The sequence below is a fragment of the Homo sapiens genome, chromosome 1, assembly GCF_000001405.40.
Source record: "Homo sapiens chromosome 1, GRCh38.p14 Primary Assembly".
NCBI classification, from domain to species: Eukaryota; Metazoa; Chordata; class Mammalia; order Primates; family Hominidae; genus Homo; species Homo sapiens.
Window position 1 is genome coordinate 107449258 of NC_000001.11, and position 24065 is coordinate 107473322.

Sequence of the window (24065 nt, forward strand, 5' to 3'; positions counted from 1 at the left end):
TGACTATATAAAGGTTAATTGAGATTGAAATGAAATAGTAATCGCTGGCCCCACTCCAACCTTCTTAAGTGTGATTCTCTGGGGGTGGGCTCCAGGCATCTGTATTTTACAAAACTCCCTAGGTGAGGATAACATGCAGCCAGGATTGAGGACTACATATTTAGCAATTATACATTTTCGGAGAGATTTAATCCAGCCGTGAATTGACTCAGGATATTCAGAACCCCAAGTGAGATGCAAGCTGGCCTCCAGTTTGCCACTCCTAGTTAGACTTCAAGGTAACTAATGCCAAGAGCACTGCGGACTGTGGGAAGCTTTATAAAGACATGTTCCCTAGATGGTCAGTGATTTCTGATCCCAACAGGCTAAGACCAAGAATATGTCTGGATTTAAAAATACCTGACTTAAAGAGTCCTTGCTTTTTTCCTCAAAAATCAATGTTATGAGCTTCTTCTGCTGGATTAAAAAAAAAAAAACCTTCAAAAAGTGGAAGCTTTTTCTATTAACTAAATCCAGGGATTTATTGTTTAGTGTCAGCAGCGTAACTGCTTTATAATTGATTTTTCTGAAAAGAACTGAAAACTTAAGCTACCTTAATTTCCTTTATCTTGACACACATGATTAGCATTGCACTGAAATATATTTTACCAGGTTCCCAATTACCATTTTTTAAAACCAACTTCCTCATTGCATACTTGTCTTGATAAAATATTTCTAGACAGGTAGAAAGCAAGTAGGTATAAAGAAAAATGTATGACTGCTTTATTCCTACTGATAGGTTTATCCTGTTTCTTCAAGAATTCCTGTTTATGTTCAGTTATGTTTTTAAAAGTGAATAGAACTAGAAAAATATATTAACACCTGTTAATTTTTAAAGTCTTGGGATAAAGAAGCAAGAACATTTTGGACAACGACAGAATTTTAAAGATAATGAAACCAAATGTAATATTTGCAACCTAAGCTAATGTGCCTAAATTCTTATAGAATTAGAAACAGCTAGCAGTATATGTCTGTTATTGTTGCACAGACAAATATTTAGTGTTGAAAAATGCAGCCTCAGCCTCAGTTTGTGCATGTAAAATGAAGATAAGAATTGGACCCACATCACTATCCATGAGAATTAAATAACACAATGAATTAAAATGTTTAACCCAGTTTCTGTCAGAGTATGGGCACGCAGTAAGATAATAAAACTATAAATGATGGTACCCATCCTCAGAGTTTCATTGAAAATGGTGAGGAATGGATTAACAAATTTAAGAAATCAATTTACAAACAAATGACATAATAAAACGAAAGCTATGATAATCATGGCTCCTTCCCGGAAAAAAAAAGAAGGCTACAAAATTATGGGATTTAATACCTATTATGTCTTTTTCTGTGGTCGTTTCAAATACTAATTACCATCTGTAAACGTGAATTTTAAGTTAAGATTTTGTCCAAAATCAATGCCATTTAGTCTTACAGGTTCCAAATAGCAAAATAAAGCAACCTCTGATAAGTTGTATTCATTAAATTCATCCCAACCTTAGCAGCAATTCTTCATCAATTTTAGGATCATCCTAAATCCTGGAAATTACCCTGTAATGCTAAAATACCTGCCTACTGGAAGGGTCTTGAATTATGGTGACCTCTAAACAGACCAAAAACTAAGTGGGGTTCTCTACCTGGGCAGAAACCAGTTATCCAGGAGTGATTACTGGGCAGTCACAATTCATAGAGTCACCATCAGACCTACTGGATACTTAACTATTATCAGCTTGGTGACTGTTAATACCCTTAGGGGTTTGTATGTCTGAAACAAGCATTCAGTTCCTCAATTCTCAATTCCCTTTTTTCTTTCTTTCTTTCTTTTTTTTTTTTTTTTAGAACTCCTCAGGGGACTTTCCACGGGGTTATTTGGCTATTCTTAGCAAGTTCATGCTATGTGCTATTTTTCAGCAAAGTTAAGGTTTCTCTTTTTATGCTAGAAAGACTAACATTGAGACTCTAACTTTGAAGAGAATAAGGTTGTTTATTCCTGTAAAAAGATTTTTTAAAAATAGTATGATTAACAATTTCACCACATGTCACACTGCCCTTGAAAAAGTAAGGCTGAATTTTCCTAGTAAACTAAAAGGCACTGAGGAACAGAGGATGAGTTAATACTTCTGCAGCCCTAACACGGTTAACCAAAAATGTAAAAATGAGAAGGAAACATAACCTCCACAGAGTAAAGAGACTGTAAGTGTGACTGTCATCGGCAGCACACTGCATGGACTCATTGTCAGGGGTCAGCCATCTTGGTTTCGTCTGCATTTGTAAAGTGCTGTCCTCCTACACACTATATCAGTGTATTATTTTATGTTTTGACATGAATGTATTAGTCGTTGCAGCTAGATGTTGAGTGAAGAACCCCCAGGAGAGAGAGAAACAGTGTAAGAATACCACTCTGAAGGAGTATGGTAGGAAGAGAGACCTTGGTTTGAGAGGTTCATTAATCAGCAACCAAACATTTATTGACTGTTTGAATCCTGCAACATCATAGGTACCATATAAGATAGAAAACAAGTTTAACACAGCCCATGCCTTAAGGATGTTGCTAAACTTGAGATTGTAGTAAAACGTGAAATCGTAGAGTGAAACCAAAGTTTCCTGTCCAGAGTACTTAGAGAACTCCTAATGGCTCTGGTTGTGAAAGGAAACTGAAAACTCTAAGGTCTATTCCAGCTCAGTAGCTGTCTCTTATGTAGTGGTTTGAATCCTGGCTCTGCCACTTACTAAGTGTGTCTTGTTGAAAAAATTATATAACTTCTCTGACCTAAGATTTCACTTCTCTAAAAAAATATTATTACACCTCATTGGGGTTGTTATGGAATTAAATGAAATGCTTGTAAACTACTAAGCACAACATCTGCAGTAAAATAACCTCCATAAATTACAGCTATTATTGGTATTACTGTACTATAATCAAGTGGTGGTAGATAACCTTGATGAAGTGCTGGGAAGGATTTTCATCTGTCAATGAGCCACTAAACCTGTAAATGGAAATTCTGATCATAAATTTGGGTTTTTACAGAGTATTTGACAAAGCAGTAAATTATGTGTGTCTATCAAGGAAACATGGGAAGTCTTGGATGGTGGACAGTACACTTACTATGGATTCCTTAAAACTCTGAAATTCAGTGGCACTATGGTATAAATAGAGCTTGAGTTTGTCCCCACAGAAACTTGTATTGAAATTTGATCCCCACTGTGGTAGTATTGGGAAGTGGGGCCTACAGGGAGGTGTTTGGGTCATGGGGGTAGATCCCTCATGAATGGCTACTAGTGCATTCTAGTGGTAGTGAGTGAGTCCTCCTTCTGGTGAGACTGGATTAATTCTCATGGGAATGGATTAGTTCCCTTGATAATGGGTTGGTATAAAGGCAGGATGCCCCTTGGGTTTTCTTTCTTTCCAAGTGTCTGCTTCCCCTTTGACCTTCTCTGCCATGATACAATGAAGCAGGAATACCTTTTCCAGAAACCAGCATCATGCCCTTGAACTTCCCAGCCTGGAGAACCATAAGCTAAATAAAATTCTTTTCTTTATAAATCACCCAGTCTCAGGTATTCTGCTATAGCAACGCAAAATGGACTAAAACAAATGGGGAGTAGAAGTATAAAGAATTGAAAGTCCATCCTTTACTGAGGAGGTACGTGACAATCCCTGGTCTCATTCCTTGGCCCTAAGGAGGTAACTAACTTCTAGAGAGTGCCTGAGGCCCCCAGCATTGCTCAGGATTCCCTCTGAGTATGCTGAGGCAGAGTATGGATCTTCCATTCACTGTGGCTTACTTTCCTGAATGTTCAGTGACACTGAGACTGTTCGGTGTCTCAACAGTGGTCAGCATTAATCCTTTGTTTTAGTGAAAGAAAGAATTTTCTCTTGTGTCTGACTTCAAATTAGAATTTTATTTTTTTTGTAAAGCAGCACAGTAAACTTCAAGTTTGTTAATAAATGTGGAGGCAAAGGAAGTCTTATACTTCTTTTTCATCAAGAAGGCAAAGCACCACCTATTCCTAGCTCCAACTTTAACACTAGTACAGAAAATAATGTTCCTCTAGGATATGGATTTTCATCTAAAACTTCATCCAGAAACTGACAGTCAAAAAGGACACTACAAACGCATTTCATTTTAAGAGAAGACAGTAGTTCACTGGGGATCTTTTCTTTCCCTCAGCAGGTATCTAGTTTCCAGCTACAAGAGTGTGCATTACTTACTGAAGAGTGTGTTTGAAAATATGAATAGAGATCATGACCAAAGCCTCCCAGGGGGTTTCTTCGGTCCAGCATAAGCCTGGATTTCTTCTACAATGTACTTAAGATTTTCCTGCTGACTACGTCTTTCTTTTCAAACTGCCATGACTTTAATAAAGAGGAAAGTGGATGCCATGTAGGGAAGTGGGCTAGACTCTTACACATAAAAACTCTCATGTTGTAACCACTTTATAAATTAAACTAAATTTAAAATTATTTCAGTAATAAACACACTTTGTGCCATCAGTATGCTTGGACATTTCACACATGTTACTTTATTTATTCTTCCAATAACCCTGCAAAGGAGTGCTAATATACTCATTTTAGAGATGAGGAAACTGAGTCTCAGAGAACTTAATATGCTCAAAGCAAACAACTAGTAGCTGATAGAGCTATTATAAAATCAAAATACAGATTTGACTCCTTGCCCCACATGCCACACCAACTCACTGTGATAGGTCCAAAATAAACCCACCTCAAGCCCAACCCTCCTTTAGAACCAGGAGGGTAATAGGAACTTGCAGTGTTCTAATATTGGACCACAGCCCAGCTACAGGATCAGTTTGCTTTCAGTGAAATGAAAACAGCCCTCAGTACTCATTAATGGGAGTGTTGGTAAACACAAACAATACCACACAACAGAGAAAGAGACTTTAGGATAAAAGCAAGCAGTGACTGACAAGGCTTACCAATTCTCTCTCACTATCTGTTTATCATTTATCAGGAACAAATGTTTGTTCACTGCCCTCTGTGTGCAGTGAATTTATTTCTCAGAATCAACAACTATTGCACCCATGCATACTTTGCACAAGCAAGTTATACTCAGATTACCAGCTCACAAGGACAGTGTTTACTTGCATGCAGAGGAGAGACCCTGCCGTAAAGTAGACACTGCTGAGACATAGTCCCTACCCATTCTCATAGGCCTAAGATGTTAACGGAAACAACGGGCTTTCATTCCAAGGATGCAAATGATGCAATTCAAGCCAAATATCCTGTGTCTTTTTACCAAAAAAAAAAAATCACTCTGACCAATTCCTCAAACCTGTCAAAAATTTAGATAAATAAACATCAAACTGTGGCCCAATAAGCAGACCCCATGTCACTTCACTAATTAATACCCAAAGGAGGAAATAGCATGCATAAATAGCTATCATCTATTTAGTCACTGGATCATATATGAAAAAGAGGTAACCTTATTCCAACATCATCATCATGGCAGGCTCTTCGCATCATTTTATCTGATCTTTGCAATATCCCTATAATAGAAGATACCATTTTTTGCTTCTTACAGATAAGGAAACCAAGCTTACAGAGGTGAAGCACATTTGAGGTCAGGAATTTAGAAGAGAAATGAATGAGGCTCAAACCCAGCTCTCTTCCTCTCCACCCCACACCAACATACATTCATCGTTCAGGTGCTACGTGTGAGCACAGTGCTGTGCCAACTCTGTGGTAAGCCTTGTAGGGAAGCAGAGGCAAGAATGAGGAAGACTCTTGAACATTAGTCACTCACATGGTGACTATTTTTTTTTTTTTTTTCTGAGACTGAGATTTGCTTTTGTCGCCCAGGCTGGAGTGCAATGGGGCGATCTCAGCTCATTACAACCTCCACCTCCCAGGTTCAAGTGATTCTCCTGCCTCAGCCTCCCAAGTAGCTGGGATTACAGGCATGTGCCACCATGCCCGGCTAATTTTTGTATTTTTAGTGGAGACGGGGTTTCACCATGTTGGTCAGGCTGGTGTCGAACTCCTGACCTCCAGTGATCTTCCCGCCTCAGCCTCCCAAAGTGCTGGGATTACAGGCGTGAGCCACCACGCCCAGCCCATGGTGACTTTAAAAAGCAATAAAAAGTCATTATGCACAGTGTTGTCCAGTAGCCTAATGTGGTGCTCAGGATCAAGTGAACCTGAGGGTTGGATGCTGGAAGCAGGAAGGTGCCCATCTTTTCCAAAGCAGCAGGCTTGTTCTTCTTCAACAGCTGTGTTAGTGTGCGTAAAAAGTAATAAATGCCTGACTCGCTCTGAGAGCCCAATATTCTCAGACAGGCAGGGCAACCACAAAGTGACTCTACTCCACAGCTCTGTGGTGAGATGGAAGGTAACTGCTGTTGCACTGCAGCCATTTCTGTGAAATGAGGTGACAGCACTGGAGAGCATGACAAGAACAATACGCGGATGAGCCTTTTACTGTGGTAGCAACTTTCATGCTGTCGTGTCAGTGCTACATGGTCAGGCTGCCTCTGTTGCCCCGGAGACAGGAATGGTAAGAATTCTCTTCATCATCAAATCATTAGCTGCCAGTAGCAGACACCCTGTCTCAGCTCCATGTCCTGTGCCTGTCATTCCTTCTAAAATGGTGTATGAGGAAAAGTAGAGATAGCTCAATATAGTGATTGCACATCCTAAAAACAGGATCTTTGAAAACATGGAGAGGTGCCACGAAATAATCCCTGAAGAGGTTTGAAAGGATGCACCCATTTCGAGAAGGGATAGAACGATTCCCCAGGTCATAACACAGTGTCCTATGATGATGGGAGGCAGGTCATTTCATCTTAGAAACAGAAAACCATTACATGCCAAGAGGGATGAGCAATGAAAGACAAAGGCCGTGAAGGAGCAGTGAAAAGCATCCTGGAATCACTTGGGGCTTTAAATTGCATGGATGGATCTTTTTAAAGTGAGTAGTAAGATAATAAAGTGATGCATAGGAAGACTTGACACCCTTCAACCCTGGTCTGATAAGCCAAAGGCTCACTTGGCTGTGAGCTAGCTGGGTTTAACAAAATGAAGGCCCTTAGATGCTAAGAAGATGTCTACATTCCTACTTTTAATCTTTTGAAGAGAGAGTGGGATTTGTACACAGCATGAGCAAGTTCTGTCTCATGCTATCTGATTTTGGAGTCTCTTGTAGGTCCATGCCTAATCCCAGAGACTGTAGTATTGGAGGATTACTCCCACTCAGATAAATCAGCCATGCCTCTCTCAGAGCTCCCACCAGAATCAAGTAGAACCCTTGGTAGGCCTGCTCGCTTATCAATACTCCTAGCTGGATTTTAGAATAGCCTTTGATGTGGCTGCAGATACCACACTACATCTTATTTAATCCTTGACTCTGAAAGTAGGTTAAAGTATTGGGTAGCAAGTAGGGAAGTCAGAGCTAGTGTTTCCATTTGGTTTCATGTTTGTCCACAAAGACCTTTGTCTGGCTATGCAATGCAATATTGTTGCTTATGTAACGTGATGCAAGACCTCAGTCCCCAAGTTGGATGACATTTGTGCTTAGAAGGACCATTATTACCAGATACTCTGTCATAAAATCTTTCTCCATAAGGCCATACTGGAATGCCAGGTCTTAGGTCCATGGAATTATATATTTGGAGTGTTGTGTCATATAAATCAATATACTGATGAATTAATAATTCTTCTGCAGAAATGAAGCACAACACCATCCACACATGTAAGAAATGGCTTCCTTTTTATTCTATCATGATTATAACCACTAGTACAACTAGGTTATATTATCTGAAGAAAATACAAATCTCAAACCTCAGGCTTGCCTGGCCAATGCAACCTTTTCTGTGCTGCATTAGGTGTAAAAATATACAATTGTCCCAGTCTGTTCTCCTTCATTAAGAAATCACTCTTGGAGAGAAATAAAAGCCAGTAGACATCATCCAAATACAAAGTAAACACCATACACCTATCATTCAGCTTATTTTGTAGTATGAATTTCTGGCTCTTTTGGTACTAAATCCCCAATCCAATACTTCAGCTTAAAAGAGCAGTACATATTTGGAAAAGTCTAGAGGCAATGCATTAGAATTCCATTTGCACCTTTTACATTTACCCATGTGCATGGCACTGTGCTCAGTGCTATAGATATACAGATATGAGCATTCATCCAACACAGTTATGTTGATTGTGTGATTATGCTCAATTAATATGGAACTTGGGAATATTGTCTCATATCATGCTAAATTAAAACATATATGTGTCTATCCAATATTCATGTAATGCTCTAAGACAAATAGATTTTTTGGGGGTGGGATTGTTTTCCTTTTATTAATGATCTAGAAAATCTTATGCATTTTTTAATAATAATTTATTTTTTAAGTTTTTTATAACAAGAAAATTGCCACATTCTTTTATAAATATTACAGTTTGAATCATACATAAGCCACTGGAATAAATTATTTATGCCAGTAGACTTATGAGTTTGTAGTGTGGGGATGTGTTTGCCTCCTAATGTATTAGAAAATTATGAATCTAATACTTTGCCGTAACATCTAAGAAAAAGCACATAAATTTTGGGGGGCTTTTTGTGTTATGAGTACTGTAAGGAAATTTTTCTGAAGACATTTTTAATTTGTATATCCCAGCTTCCTTAGTTAGAGATATTAGAGAATGAGCCCGTCCTCAGCATGGTGTGTTTTTAGCCATCATGTTAGAGAAAAAGGCTGTTTCCCATTAAAAGTTGCTCTCATTTGCTCTAATAGCCCAAGTGCAGATATATTCAATTCCAACATGTTCGCATCTAAAAGTTTGGAAGTGTAATTCACCATATGCCTAATGTCAAATATTAAAACACACAGAACAATAAAAAGCTGATCCAAAATCCCCTTACTTTAAATCTATTAGTCAGATTAATGGGGATGACACATGAGTTCCACTGTTATACTACTCCAGTGGCAATCTTCTAAAATTAGGAACTGCCAATCCGGGGGAAGCAAAAGAACTCTATATCATTTTAAATTTAACTCCAGCCTACTCTGAAGCCATTAGAGGCGATTAAAGGAGATCTCTATCCATTAAATTTAGCCCAGTAATCTTAAAGTTCAAAAGGTAAAAAGCACTTTTCACCATAAATAAACTGAGAGGCAAAATTATTTTCAATGAAGTTTCAATTTCAGTGAAAATAAAGTAGGTAATTACATTGGCTATTACTAAGGTCACTGCCTTCATTGACCATCTGGCTTAAAATTAAAAAATAGGTATCATTTGAGACATGGACAGAAATGAGCAAAGTGTGCACTGCTTCCTTTTTAAAGTCCTGCAAATTCAGTTAATTCACAGATTAACAATATTCATGAAACAATTATTCAAAAATTAACCTGATGGCCTTTTTGAAGCTGAGCAACTCAGGAAAAGAAGAAGAAAAACATGTAATGTCTTACCATTAATTACCATTACCATAATACCATAATTACTGCTTTCCATATGATAGTTCCTTGGCATATCATTTTTGCATACAAAAATTGGTAGGCCAAATTTGTCATGCCAATTTCTGTAGATTTTCTGTATCTGGTGTCCTATTTGCTGGATGTGAACTTCATTTTCAAATTGGAAACATTGTTTTCTTGTAAGGAATATAACTTAATGTTTGCCTTGTTTCGTTCTACTTCCTACAATCTCAGAAGGGATCAAAACAGTTTAGAAAGTTGAACTTTCTAAATGCTGTTTTAAAGTCATTTTCCATATGTATTGTTTTTTATTTTATTTTATTTTTATCATTATCTTTTACCACTGAAAAATGGCATTACTGGATTTTGATATAGCTTAGGTTCACACTATCTATTATTACCTGAAGTATATCAAAGAGGAAAAAGTTAAATTAGTTCATTGCTTTTCCTCTTTTGTAACTTTGCAAAGACATATATGCATATTGTTCAAAAAGAGAGAGAGAGAAATTGCCTTTAATTTTATTTGAGTCCTAAACCTAGGATAACTTTATTCATATATCCTTTGTAAAACTCAGGTTCTGTTGTGTTTTGTTTTGCTTTCCTAACATAAAGGCCACTAGCTTCAGGTTATGCTATTCATTCAGCCTGAAAATAGAATACATACTTTCAGAAGATCCTGTTCTCTGCATTCACAGCTGTTGGAGAGTCTTTGAAAATACCCTTGCCAGTATACAGAGATGTCAGCCTAAAGAACAGAAAGAGAAGATGGGGGAGGAAAAAAAGGCAGGGGTAAAAAATAAAAAGTTGCCAAAAGAAAAAAAAATGTATTTTCAATTCAATTTGAGCTTATTTCTATTCATTCAAGTCATTTGGAATTATTTGCAGTCAAGATTAATGATTCTTTACAGGTTGGGGGAGGACTTAGCAGCATCACCACTGATTTCTCCTGACAAAATTTATTATGCATTGATGCTAGCAGGACACCAGCAGGAGAGAGTTTGTTAAAACACCTTCAGAATAGAGCACTTTAACCTAGAACGTTGCTCAAACGAGCTGTCCCAATACACGGTTTTGGAATGTTTTAACACAAGCATTCATAGCAGCATTTTAAGATGGAGCCAGCCGGGTACTCCTAGGGCAAATTATTTGCTTGTGGATTTTCCAGTGGGGAAATTTAAATCACAATTCAGTATCCCTCAACTTTCCAACTAGTCCCATGTACACTCAGGGAGAGCAAATGAACTTTTGAAGTATAAAAGTACAATTGTGGCTCTCTTTTTTTTCGCCTAATTTCTCACTTTGTTCTTTTCCTTTTCTTTAAAATATTAAGATAAGATTAGAAAATAATTTGCTTTGTCAGGAAAGGAAAACCTCTAGAAAACAGTTCTCAGTGCAACGAGCATGCAAGCTAAGGCCCGTTTCCTCAAGGGCAGAGTTTCAGAGTCACAGATGGTTAGTCTGGGTTCTCGTCGTGAGCTTCATGAAACTCAGCTCATGCCCCGGTGCAATGCCATCAAACCATGGCCTGCACAGTGCCGAACTGACAGTTCATCATGAGCGCACTCCCAGGTCTTTAGTAGCCTCATTTACCATGACATCGCTCCTCTGCTCTTACTGTCAGAAAGAGGTGAGCTCATTTCTCCTCAGCTTTCCTTCTGAGCCCTCACAGATAATATTTTACCAGGCAGGACAGATTTTACACTTTGGGAAAACTTTGGCAATTAAATCTCACAAAGAAATCCAATAGTTTTCTATTTAGGAAATGAAATTATTTCCTCTATGGCCCATGGTTTAATATTGACTTCTTACGAATATTTATATTCACAGCAACTTGGCTGCACTGCTGGGGAAAAAGGCAGCTCTATGTGAAATAATAGCTGTAATTATTCGATAGCTTCTTTTTTTTGACAGCAGTACATCCTTCAGCTTTCACTTTTATACCAAACTGGAAATTAGGAGGTAGCCTAGCTGTGAAAACTGATGCTGGAAACTGTCCATCCATCATGAGGAATGATCCTTTCTCTGAGGGGAATTTGCTGCTGGATTGCCAAGTGCATAATATTCCCCTGGAGCAAGGCTGCATAAAACAACACTGCTGTGACACATTCTGAGATATTTAACTCTAGAGGGTCTGGCAGCCCCGTGTACTGGGCTGCTAATGGTGTTCAGTAGTTGTCATCGGGTCTTAGAGCCCAGAAGGTCAGAAGAATTTCTCTAATCCTAGGGTAAGAGACCAATTAAAATCCATCCCAGCCAGGACAGTCTCCACAAAATCCATTATCCCTGGCCTATTTTTAGGCCCTTAAAGGATGGATGCTGGGTGAAACAAGACAGAGAAGGCTTTAATTTATTCAATACATGTGTAAAAAGCGTGAATTCTATACCAGCCACTGCTCTGGATATTGAGTATACTGTGTTAAGAAGACATACATAGACCCTGCTCTCAAGGAGCTCATACACTGGTGGGAGGCACATGGAAAACAGGGAAAGAAATAAACAGTGGGCAAAGACCACTGTAGACTGAATAGTCATTGAAGGTCTTTCTGAGAAGGGAGTACTTCAGCTGAGATCCAAGTATTAAGGAGACCCCACCATGGAAAGTTCTGGAGGAAGAGTGTTCCAGGCGGAGGAGACAATTCCTGCAAAAGCTGAAAGGCAGGAAGGAGCTGGGCCAGTTCAGAAAATGGAAGGAAGCAAGTATGGCTGGAGGGTGCTGATGAGGGAGAGGTGGTCTGAGATGCGAAGAGGAAGATAAACACCAGATCACCCATCCTTGAAGGCCAACACTAGAGATATGGATTCTCTTTTTTTCTTTTTTTTTTCTTTTTTTTTTCTTTTGAGACGGAGTCTTGCTCTGTCTCCAGGCTGGAGTGGCACAGTCTCGGCTCACTGCAACCTCTGCCTCCCGGGTTCAAGCGATTCCCCTGCCTCAGCCTCCTGAGTAGCTGGAACTACAGGTGTGCACCACCATGCCCAGCTAATTTATTGTATTTTAGTAAAGACAGGGTTTCACCATGTTGGCCAGGATGTTCTTGATCTCTTGACCTCGTGAACTGCCCACCTCAGCCTCCCAAAGTGCTGGGATTACAGGTGTGAGCCACCGCGCCTGGCCTAGAGACATGGATTCTATTCCAAGTTCCCTGGGCCTTGAGCAGAGGCGTGCCATGATATAGGAGTTTAAATTAAAAAATAACTCTGGCTACTGTGTGGACAATGGATTGCAAGCAGGGGCAAGAAGGAAAGGGCAAGGTTTGTAATTAGCAGGATTACAGTAGACCAGGTAAGGGGTGTTAGTGGCTTGGACCATTAGGAGCAACGCAGATAATGAAAATAGATGGATTTGGGATCTGTCGTAGTCTCTGCCTGCCTTTGCTGAAAAAGTGTTAAATCTAAATTTTCAGGTGGTCTGAAGCAAGGATGCACTTTTTCTGTTTTCTATTGCCCTTGCCACATGGATGCCTTGTAATAATGGTTCCTACCAGTTTCTGTTTCGTGGAGAAAGAAACAAGGGCAAAAGTAATAGCATTCACAGCATTCCAGCATATAGACCTCGAACAGAACATAATGATCAGGAAAAATAGCAAAGTAATTAAGCTCACAGAATTGGGTGGGTTACAGGCTCTGCTACCCACTACCTGTGTGACCTTAGAGAGACTATTTACCCTCCTCAAGTCTTGGTTTCTTCACCTGTCAAACTCTTAAAAGGTCTTTCCTTGTAAGATTGTTAAAAGGATTAACCAGTGCATGAAAAGCACTTGGAAAAATGCCTGATAGGAGACCAAGTCCTCAATAAATAGATGTTCGCTTTTGTTACTATTATTATCCTGTTTTAATTTAAACCTCACCTTCCACCACCAAATGTGATACATTTAATGGCGTATCAACATGTGCTTTTCCTTTAATTTCCCAAACAGGAAGCCAAACTATGTAGAGGCTTTTTGTTGTTGTTTTTAAATATCTCTTCTAAGGAGAAAAGGAACTAACATTTAAGAAGTTCTTACTGTTTGCCAGATGTTTCATATATATCTCATTTAGACCTCTCTATAATCAACAGAGTTACCATTTGTTGGTAAGATTTTTATTTGTTGGTACCTATTCTCATCTTCAAAACTGCCTTACAGTGAAAACATGCTGTGCCTGTTTTATAGATGCAGAAGCCAAGGCTCAGGGAGGTCACTTGATTTGCCAACGCCCCACAGCTAATGAGTTGAGGATACAAGATGGGACTCTAGATCTGTGTGACTCCACAATCCTTGCAATTTCTCCCATACAGTGGGGAAGAGACAAACTATACCAGCCTACCTCCAATGGACTCTTGGCTGCACTATCAAACAAACCAGGAAAGTAGGTTTCTCCCCTCCCTTTCCTCATGTCAGCTGAGATTTTCATTGTGCCTTGACTAACTTCCAGTTAGGAATGTTCTGTGCTAGATTCCTAGTCTAGTTAGTATGTATTGATCATGTATTTGGATGTCATTAGGCAAGTACTCATCATCAACATGAATTCGTTATGTGCTTCTTAGGAAATTAACTGATAAAGGTTGGAAATCACTGAAAATCCTTTCCTTTTTCAAGTGGTCATCCAATCTTTCCCATTATTCTCACTTTATTGCTCTTGGCAATATAGTTAAGAATCTATTGACGTTAACATTGTAAACTCAATCTGTATCATGTCGTTTATAACTTGGTCATAAAAATCCATTTATCCTGAGATTTTGGTGTAATTCTTTACTGGCTGAATTGTCAAAATTTTCATCTTATTAGTTATGTAATGCTAGAAAAAAATAAGACACAATTTCATTCCATAATAACCTTGGTTTTTTTTTTTCACTTGTTCCCAGAAAAATAAAGCAATAAATTTAAAATAGAAAATGAATAATCTATAATATTAACTAAAGCATTTTTAGCTATTTAAGCATTACATCAAAAGAAAATGTAAGAGTTTTTGTCAGCAAATTATTGAGAACCAAAATGTACTTGTGGCTTGCAAGATTTTTTTTCAGTTTACTCACCAGTCTATATAAGGCAAGAGCCCTGATTATGTCCTTAGGAGTCATTTCCATATGTTTACTAAATTATAGTCCTTATTTCTTCTTCATATCAACAGTGACCCTAAAAATCAGCATGTGTGACCCTAAAAATACAGAAAAATGCAATGTATTCACTTTTAGATACATTTTCATTTGGTGGATTTGGGGGGTTTGAGGTTATTTTGAAAATATATAATTTATTTCCTAGACTATATAAAAAGGAGGCATCTAATAATCATTTACTAAAAATTAAAAGCAATTAGTGGCAGTTAGGATGAAGGCTTCAGTATTCAAGTCTGATGTAATGACCTTGCCCTTAATTCAATATCCTTTGAGTTGTGTGTTTCTTCCCCTTTAGTTAACATAAATAGGGGCATCAGCTTTACACCCTTAAAAAAACCTTGTTGCCCATCTTGTGAATCTTTTCTTTCTTCGCAATCTGTGAATAAACTGCTTTGCTTTGTCTTGTTAAAGCCAGGCCAGCCATAGCCTTGGCCTTTAGACTACAGTATTTAAACTTTATAGGTAGATTTGACAAGCCTAAAGATGGATAATCAGTCACATCGTTAGCACAAAAGAATTGCCCGATTAAGCAGGACAGAGACCAGCCTGAAACAGATCCTGATAGGCTGAAGGGATGTTCAAAAGATTTGCCTAGTTGGGGCCCCAGGTGTAAAAAGCAAGCCCAGCATGGAAATGAGTAACTCAGACATATATGAAGGGGCTAGCGCAGCAGTGACAGGTGGCAGGAACCTACGGAACGAAGGGTGAATGGGAGCAAAGACCTTTAGATTAACCAAGAGGCTTGCACGGAACAACAAGTGAAAAACAATTAGAACCCTGGAAGATAAAACCAAATGAAGTGATCCAAGTGAGGTCAGACAGCATACCAAGCAGCAGCACATCCAGTGACAAGAAAAGTGTTTGTCCATGCAGGTCTTAGCTTCAGCCTCAGGCCAAGTTCGAATGGTAATGGGAGTGCAATAGGTGGAGAATCTGCCTTCCACCCTCCTGCACCTTTTTATGGGAAGTCCGTGAGATTCATTCATCACTCTGATACAAGAAGCTAAATCCAAGATACAGTTTTAGTTTAATACTTTGAAGGTTTTAAAGTTTAAATGTGATTCCTACCCCTAAACAAGCAGAGCTGAGATGCCCACAGGGAAGGATGGGCCCCACGTCTCTCCATAGGCTTATGTGGTGTTTCTCTCCAGGTCGGCCCAACCCCACATTCCCCCTCCTTCTCTGTCCTCTTTATCTCCCTCTACTGCCCTTCTCACCACAATACAAGAAACAGAAGCACAAAGTTTTAAAAACTGCTAACAAAGGGACTTTTTTGAAACCAGTACTTGGAGGCGTTAATGAAAACCCAGGTTATTTCCAATTACAGTCTCAGGAATTACTGAATCCTTCCATGACCTTAGAAATGCAGAAGCCACGTGAAAAATCATCATTGGAAAAGAAATCATTGAGAATCCCGTTAGGTGCCAGAAAAAAAATGGATGCTTAGGATTCAAAGATAAAATAGATATCTGAGGCTATAAAGATGAAAAAGGTGTCTACTACCTTTAAGGAATAGTGCTTATAGACGGACTGCTCTGTCATGCACCATACTGTTCTGTGTGGACAATGAGAGGAGGTGCAAGACAATGGCCTGCCCTCAGAGTGCTTGTATTTTGGTTGAGGAGACAAGAAATGCACATGGAAAAGGAGTGTTTGTTGTAGATTTTGCAGAGTCATATAAAGCTTACATTTCTATCTATGTCTATATCTTTATCTAGATCATCTGCCATAAGGCTTCAAAGGAAGGATAGTATCTGAAGGCTTAAACACTCACAGAAATAAATTTCCATGGTGGGGGTTGTCCATGAGCAAGATCTTAAAGAATGGGTGGAGAGTTTAGGGAAGGACATATCTGGAGCAGAGACACCTCTACAGGGGCAGGCATGTGGCAGTCCAGGGACCAGGGAGAACATGGACAGTGCTTTGCAAACAGAAAGACTTCAGCTCTGATCCTGCCTCTGCTGCTCAGTCGCCAGGAGGACTTATGTAAGATCCACAGGTCTCCCATACAATTGAAGTAATAATAATAACAATAATACCTATGTACCAGATTATTAGATATATTCAATTAGATAACAGATGTAAATGTTTCTGGCCTTTTAATTATAACGTGTTAATTTTAATTGTGTGTGTGTGCATATGTGTGTGGGAAGGTGGTATGTAAGTTTAAGACAGTAAGTATATGATCCAGGAGTAGACATTTCATGTTGTGGAGTAAAAGCACATGATGGGGAGATTCTGAACACACTGTTGGGAGGTCCTGACTATAGTATTTGCAGTTAGCAGTGGGGAGATTCTGAACACACTGTTGGGAGGTCCTGACTACAGTATTTGCAGTTAGCAGTGGGGAGCCATGGAAGATTGTGAGGGAGAGAATGAGTGAGAAGTATTGTGTAAACTCTTTGTGAGGAAGCCCCATCTGGCTGTAGCATGTCTGTGCAATTTAATTTAGGGGATATAAAATAGACACAGTTGAGAAGCTATTTCAGAAGTAAAGAGGAAGCAATGGATATGGAATATGTCATTTTTTCTATGAAATTCATTTATTCATTCACTCAAAATACTCATATTCATTGAGTACAGTTTGTTCTCAAGCACTGTTCTAGGCATTGCACACTCAGCAAAGAAGAAAGCAGTCAAAATTCTTATCTTCATGGAGCTTTTATTCTAGAATAACTCCCTATTCATATAAAAGTACATATCTTCAGAAAATAGAGTAAGAAATGTCGAGGAAAGTGAAATGTGTTAGGACAAGATATTTTAAAGCACGTCATGTGATTAGTCTTTAACAAGTCCACCCAAGTCTTTTTCATCACTGCTTAATCTAACCTGGGTATGTCTTAGTCTGCTTCAAAGAGAAGCTCTAACATCTTTTCCCTGTGTTTTAAATACCATGCATAGCCTCCCAGTTGTATCCAAACCAATTCATAAATTTTTTCTCTCTGCTGCTGGATCTGAAAGTCCCTGAAGGCATAGCTTCCACACATTTTTTGCCAGACTCTGATTTTGGTTTAAGTATCTTACCTCTCTCCTGAGACACAACAGCCTTGCTCTTCTTCGAAAAGCTGTAAAATACCCTTCTGCATGCCCGTAATGACTTAATTTCCCCCCTTTTCAGGTCCACTAAGCAGATCTGTTCTCACTCAAATACCTTTTTCTTAACCAATGAAGAAAGGATTCCTCTGGATATTAGGAAAGAACTCAGTACATCCTCTTTCTGCCTCATGTTTGAAGTTTGGCTTTAGTAAAAGTTATGTTGCACAGAATTACTTAATGTTACTCATGAGCTTGTCTAAAGTCACTGTCTTTACCTAAACTTTTTTTTTTAATAAGAGCTCTTGTTTATTTTTCTCATCATTAAAGAAAAATTAACAAATAGATCTTTTCAAGAGGTAAGCAGCTATTGATTCATCCAAGAAATTGTAGGAGTGAACGATGATTTTTTTCAAATTGACAAGTATTCATTAAGCTAGAAATTGCTAATGATAAAAGTGAACTAGAAGACACAGGAGTATGCACTATGTGAAACTTCATTACCTAATGAAACATAAAAAGCATGAACCTATATTAACAATTACCATTTCTGTGACTCTGACAGTCTATCTTTTATTGTAGGACTTTGAGCAGTGCCTGGCACTTACAAAGCACTTAATAACAATCATTGAGTTGAATGACCTCTCATGTTCACAACAGCCCTGTGAAGTGGCCTCTTTTACAGATGAAGAAATAGAGGCTCAGAAATCCAGATTGCAGAGCCATGCGTGGTAATGTCAGTATTGAAATCCAGACTTCTGGACACCACCACAGTAAATGATCAAGTACTAAACTTTGTGGTTCAAATTTTGAGTGTCTCAGGAATTTGTAAGTGGGAAAGACAATGTGAGTTACAATAGTCAGCATCAACTTCATTGAAAAGGTATGCTATGACTTGTCTATAATCTTAACCTCTTTGTCCTTTCTTAGCCTTGCTGATGTATTTTAAGAAATTTAAATGTTTGGTCTCCAGTGCAGTAGCAAATATACTTTTGAAAATTAGCAGTCATTTTTACTTGGAATCAGGCATCCCTAAATGGCTCCTGTCATCATTTTGCACATTCTCGTGATTCCATAATGTTGTTTTCCTCACCTTGAATTTATTGACACCAATTCATTTTGCCTTGACATTGGCATTAACAGGGAAATGGCTTTGTTTCATCCTGACATTATAAAATCACCTCCCAAGACTTGGTTTGACATTGTCAGGGGGTGGTTATGGTGACAGCAAGGCCACAGCAGACAAGAGTGAATTACAGCGATTCCCTGGAAAAAAAAATCATTAAGAAAAGTTACCGCTGTGTGATTTTAGTAGCTATTTTTCATACTTAAATATCCCTGCTGTTTAAAAATCCTAAGAGGGCTTAGACCATATTTAGAACACTCCTACCAAGTATGTATAGGAAAAATTAAGTCTCTAAGGAGACGTTTGGCTATAGCTTGACAAACAGGAACCTCAAATTATATTTTAGCTTTACAAAGTGCTCAAAGGCATTGAAATTCTGCCTTTTAAAAAAACGCGTATTTGAATTGATGACACAATTATCTCCTTTCGGCTGCAGATACTTGCATTTCTTAATGCTGGGATATCAAAGGCCTGTAGTATTTTCCTACCTCCTAGCCAGAATGTAGAATGTTTTACAAATTTGTCTTCAGCACTGTATGGGGTTGGAAAGATTGTCTTTCATAATTCCAACATCATTTCAAAGAACACCAAATCCTTTTACTTGAGTTCTTCTATGTTCCCATAATGGTTTCTCACCTCGGCTGTACTCCCACAAAGAACAGCTCCATGTGGATTTTCCTTTACCCTATGTTCCAAAGTTAACTAATCACCTTCTCAATTAAATAAAAAAAGTCACTGAGATCCTTCAGGTCTTCAGGGCCATGTTGTTTTCACCTTTGTGTTGCTAGCAATGCCCAGATTATAATAAGAGCTAATACATTTTGCTTAATGAAAAATGATAGGAAGGCCGGGTGTGGTGGCTCACGCCTGTAATCCCAGCACTTTGGGAGGCCAAGGTGGGCGGATCATGAGGTCAGGAGTTTGAGACCAGCCTGACCAACATGGTGAAACCCTGTCTCTACTAAAACTACAAAAATTAGCTAGGAGTGGTGGCGCGCGCCTATAATCCCAGCTACTCAGGAGGCTGAAGCAGGAGAATCGCTTGAATCCCGGGAGGCGGAGGTTGCAGTGAGCCATTATCATGCCACTGCACTCCAGCCTGGGTGACAGGATCAAAACTCCATTTCAAAAAAAAAAAAAAAAAACAACGAAAGGAGCGTTCCTGATCTTTTATTTCAAAGCAATCATCCTTGCTGCTTCTCCTCTCTTCCATCTTTTCCCCAAGTGTATATTGTTTCATGAAGAATGACTTAATACAAGTCACCATTCTCTTCCTGTTCATGCTTCCATTATCAAACCATGTGTATGGGAATCTTTGACAATCATGGTATCCAACCTGAGTTGGCAAGTCAAAGCTGCTCAGCAAGTTTTCCATGTGTTAGTTAGCTCCCTCTCCCATTCCCTGCCAAATAATTTTCCCTTTCAGCTAGCTAGCTACTAATAATAGACAGACATCCACCATTCGGAAACAGGCATACAACAAAATTTTATTTATTTTATTTTATCTTATTTTATTGTATTGTATTTTTTGAGTCAGAGTCTCTCTCTGTCTCCCAGGCTGGAGTGCAGTGGCACAATGTCAACTCAATGCAACCTCCGTCTCCCAGGTTCAAGCAATTCTCCTGCTTCAACCTCCCCACCATGCCCAGCTAATTTTTTGGTATTTTTAATAGAGCCTGGGTTCGACCATGTTGGCTGGTCTTGAACTCCTGAGCTCAAGTGACCCTCCTGCCTCGGCCTCTCAAAGTGCTGGGATTACAGGCGTGAGCCACCACGCCTAGCTTATTTGTTTATTATTTATTTAGCATCTATTCCATGCCAGGGACAGTGCTGAATACTAATGACAGCAACAATAAACAGGTAAAAGATGTAGTGCAGGTACGTACAAGGGCAGAAATAGTTTTTTTTTTTAATTAGTTTAAATTCAACTTTGATCCCCTCTACTAGAAAGGTGGTGAGATATTCAGCCAACTGTCACTGTGGCTCAATCTACAAATGTAAAAATGTCCACTCATTTAGCACCAGTCTCTACTAATTACCAACAAGATGGTCATCCGTTGGGTTGCAGATCCCTTTAGCTCAGGAAGCTCTGATGGTTCCATTCACATCTGAGGCTGTGGAGTCATTGGCAAGCCAAGGAATCAAGTCTAAGACCCCTTCATGGTTATGGGATTGTGTAGAAACTCATGCCTTTTCTGAGATAATTGGTAGTCCTACTAGAAATATGTATTAGTAACACAAATACTGAAATTTGATAAAATGTGATTACATAATTCATTTCTTAACTGAATTACCTTTATTATCTAAGTAAAAGACACATATTTCTAAAAAAAACCCAGCAATTTATTTTATTAACATTTTTAATATCACCAAAGGACTATATTCTAGGCAATTTGGAAAGAGTGAAAAGTATAAAGATGAAAATTAAAATTACTAAAGTTTATTGCACTCCTACCAGCTATAAATAAACACTGTTCACATTTTGGTACAATTGATTGTAGTATTTTTGCTAAGGTTTATATTACACAGGTATGTGTAGAGTTACATGTCTGTACTTATGGAGATTATGCTGGATAAACATTTTGTATCTGCCTTTCATCCTGGCACAATGCCATGTACTTTGAAACGATGATTTTTACCCTGATATGTGTTGCCATTTTGTGTGAATATGCCTCCCCATGAATTCCATCTTTCACCTTCAGCTAAGAGTAGAGGTTGCAACTCTTATTAAACTAGACAAGTGCATTTTCTGATACCTGATGAGAAAGTCTGTGACTTCTCAGCACCATTTTTATGAGAACCTTGTCTGTGTCTGTGTCTGAAGGTGTTGACCTAAATAGGATTTCAATACATCATTAATGATCACTTTGGGAGAGGTGCCCAGCCTTCAGCTTGTAGGATTCTCAGTAAATTAATTCTTTCTCGATATCAGCAAAGGCTTTTTTTCAGGTTGCAAAGGCCAAAAATTTTAGGGATGTTTGGGCAGGGCCTCCTGCTCCTGCATCAGAGTCACCTGTCACCTCTTTCATGCTAGCCAGGATACTGTGAACTGCAGAATGGTCTCCTTCTAAATGAGTGAGGCTCTTTAATGGTGTTTTAAGCAGTTTTTTCTATGGTTTGGCAAAAGAAAGTGTCACTCTCATAACAGGTGCTTTAATATTAGATGAGTAAGAATAGAATGGCTACTCCCTAGGGTCAGAACTTGCAGTCCTTGATTACCTACATGTGTCCAACCACCCAGCCAACAGCTTCCACATTGTTCCCTATAGCAACTTCAGCTCTGACCCTTGGGTTCATTATGCTGAAACCAAGTAGGTCGGATGCTGTCACACAGAGTCTCGCCACCGAAGTACCACTGTCTTCAGATGCATACAGACAAACTTGAGTGTAAATTAAAAGCAGGAAAGCAAGGGCATTTTCACATGAGTCTACCAGGTTTCAGTCTGTTGTTTGCATCCGTACCTCCCCTGGCCCCCTACACCATCAACATTGCAAAAGACAAAAGGTGGGCTATGGAGCAGTAGATGCAGGTTGAGGGTCTCCAGCTCAGCCCCTCCCTGCTACTCTGGAAACACAGCTTATTTATGTGCTCTGATTGATACAGGAGAGTGCACATTGAATGAGAATATAGAAGTCGTCTTTGAGAAAATGGGCACTGCCACCCTAAGGTGACCTTGCAAGGCTTTGTAGAATATGCAGTAGTTGAATACAAATATTTGAGAATTGCATGTTTTGACCCCATGCTTGCTCAAGTTTCATACTAGCAGAAGACATGCACAGATGCTGTCTTTGAGGAAGGACATTTGCTTCCTTTTATACTTCAAGTAGCTTGGATTGGATAAGTAGTGTTTAATTCATTATTCTGGCAGAGATAGGAATTAGCACCTCATTCTTCCATCCTGAGCTTCTAGCACTGGGTGGATTGAGGAAGAAATTGAACTTTAACAAAGTATACTTAGGTTGTGTTTTATATTTTTTTAGAGCACCTCCACATAATTCATCTTGAGGCTACCAACAACTATTAGGTGGGTAAATAGGACAAGTGTTATTATCCTGCTTGTGAAGTGAAGAAAGGCACAAAGAGGTTAAGTGATTTCCCCAAGTTCACTCAGCCCATTAACTACAGGGATGAGACTTGAATCACAGAATCTGAGCCTAATTCTCTTTATACTACCTCATGCTTTTAGTGCGTATGAGGGAAAAAACTATCCCTGTTCCATGGGGCAGCAGATAAGACTGAACCAAAACAGATCAAACAGAAACAGTCACCTAAGTCATCACCAAGGACTCTATTACACAAGACCATCCATCATCATATATTTGGTCAAGAAGGGGAGGGATTTCTAACACTTTGCCTTCAAAATGATAGGCTTTCCATTAAAAATATTCATGCAAATCATAAAACTTGAGAAAACTTTAGAAATACCGACTTCAAACCTGTAACCTGTAGCCTAACTTTACAGCTGCAACTAGAATACAAGCCCCTCATGTGCAGCTCCACTGTGGGTCTGGCTTACCAAAATATGGCCACCATCCAGAGCAGTGCCTGGGTGGATGTTGGACAAACGCATGGATGAGTGTCACTAAATAGTTGCATAGTATGTCCAAGGCCTTGTCGTAAATGGATGACTAGTGAGACCCAGATCTCAGGTTTTCCAGTTTTATGACGCTCAGCCAATGTGTTTTCCCTTTGCACCATACTACCCCTCATGGCCAGACCAGACCAGACCATAAGGTCGGGGAAGAAAAAAGGTTTTTTTTTGTTTTGTTTTGTTTTTTTGTGGGGCGGGGATGGATTGCAGTTAGTGTACCTAGAATTCCAACCACAACAACAAAAAGTGATTAGATAACAATCTATAAAGTTTCTTCCATGGCCCAGGAGCTAACCTGTAGGTTCAGTTTTCCATCTCACATATCACAACTTAGCAAAACAGCTGCAAAAGCTGTATAAATGGGTCATAATCACAGCTCTTCAACTCCCTGCCACACAGTCTCGAATGCCTAAATCAGACCTGAATGTAGCCCACATACCTTTGTTATTAGCCTGTTTGGTGGAGGTTATTCACTCTTTGATGTTTCTTTGAAAAGGACGGGAACAATTTGGAACATCTTTCTCTCAGCAATCCTGGGCTTGTTTCAGGTGGTAAAGGTAGAGGTCACTTTATTAATACAACCATCAAGAAAAGCTGTCATGGTAACGCATTACATTGATTCCTTGAAGTGCAGGAGACAAAGCCAAAAAGAGAAACTTTCAAGTCTATAAATACAGACCCAGCATTGCTCAAGCATAGCAGCTCACTGACAGCATGAACCTAAATGTATAACGTTGAACAAAACCCAGAGAAAAGAAAA

General features: G+C 39.0%; 1 protein-coding gene across 16 annotated transcripts in view, besides 2 other annotated features; it reads left to right on the forward strand.

Annotated features, from left to right (window-relative positions):
• NTNG1 (netrin G1) overlaps positions 1 to 24065 on the forward strand; it is a 344836-nt gene that overhangs the window by 309170 nt on the left and 11601 nt on the right. The gene's annotated exons all lie outside the window — the stretch shown is intronic.
• Positions 1775 to 2034: an enhancer, noted in NCBI's record as "active region_1418". NCBI's record gives its function as "activates an Ori minimal core promoter by ATAC-STARR-seq in GM12878 lymphoblastoid cells {active_cell/tissue: GM12878}" and the evidence as "EXISTENCE:reporter gene assay evidence [ECO:0000049][PMID:35858748]".
• Positions 2395 to 2454: an enhancer, noted in NCBI's record as "active region_1419". NCBI's record gives its function as "activates an Ori minimal core promoter by ATAC-STARR-seq in GM12878 lymphoblastoid cells {active_cell/tissue: GM12878}" and the evidence as "EXISTENCE:reporter gene assay evidence [ECO:0000049][PMID:35858748]".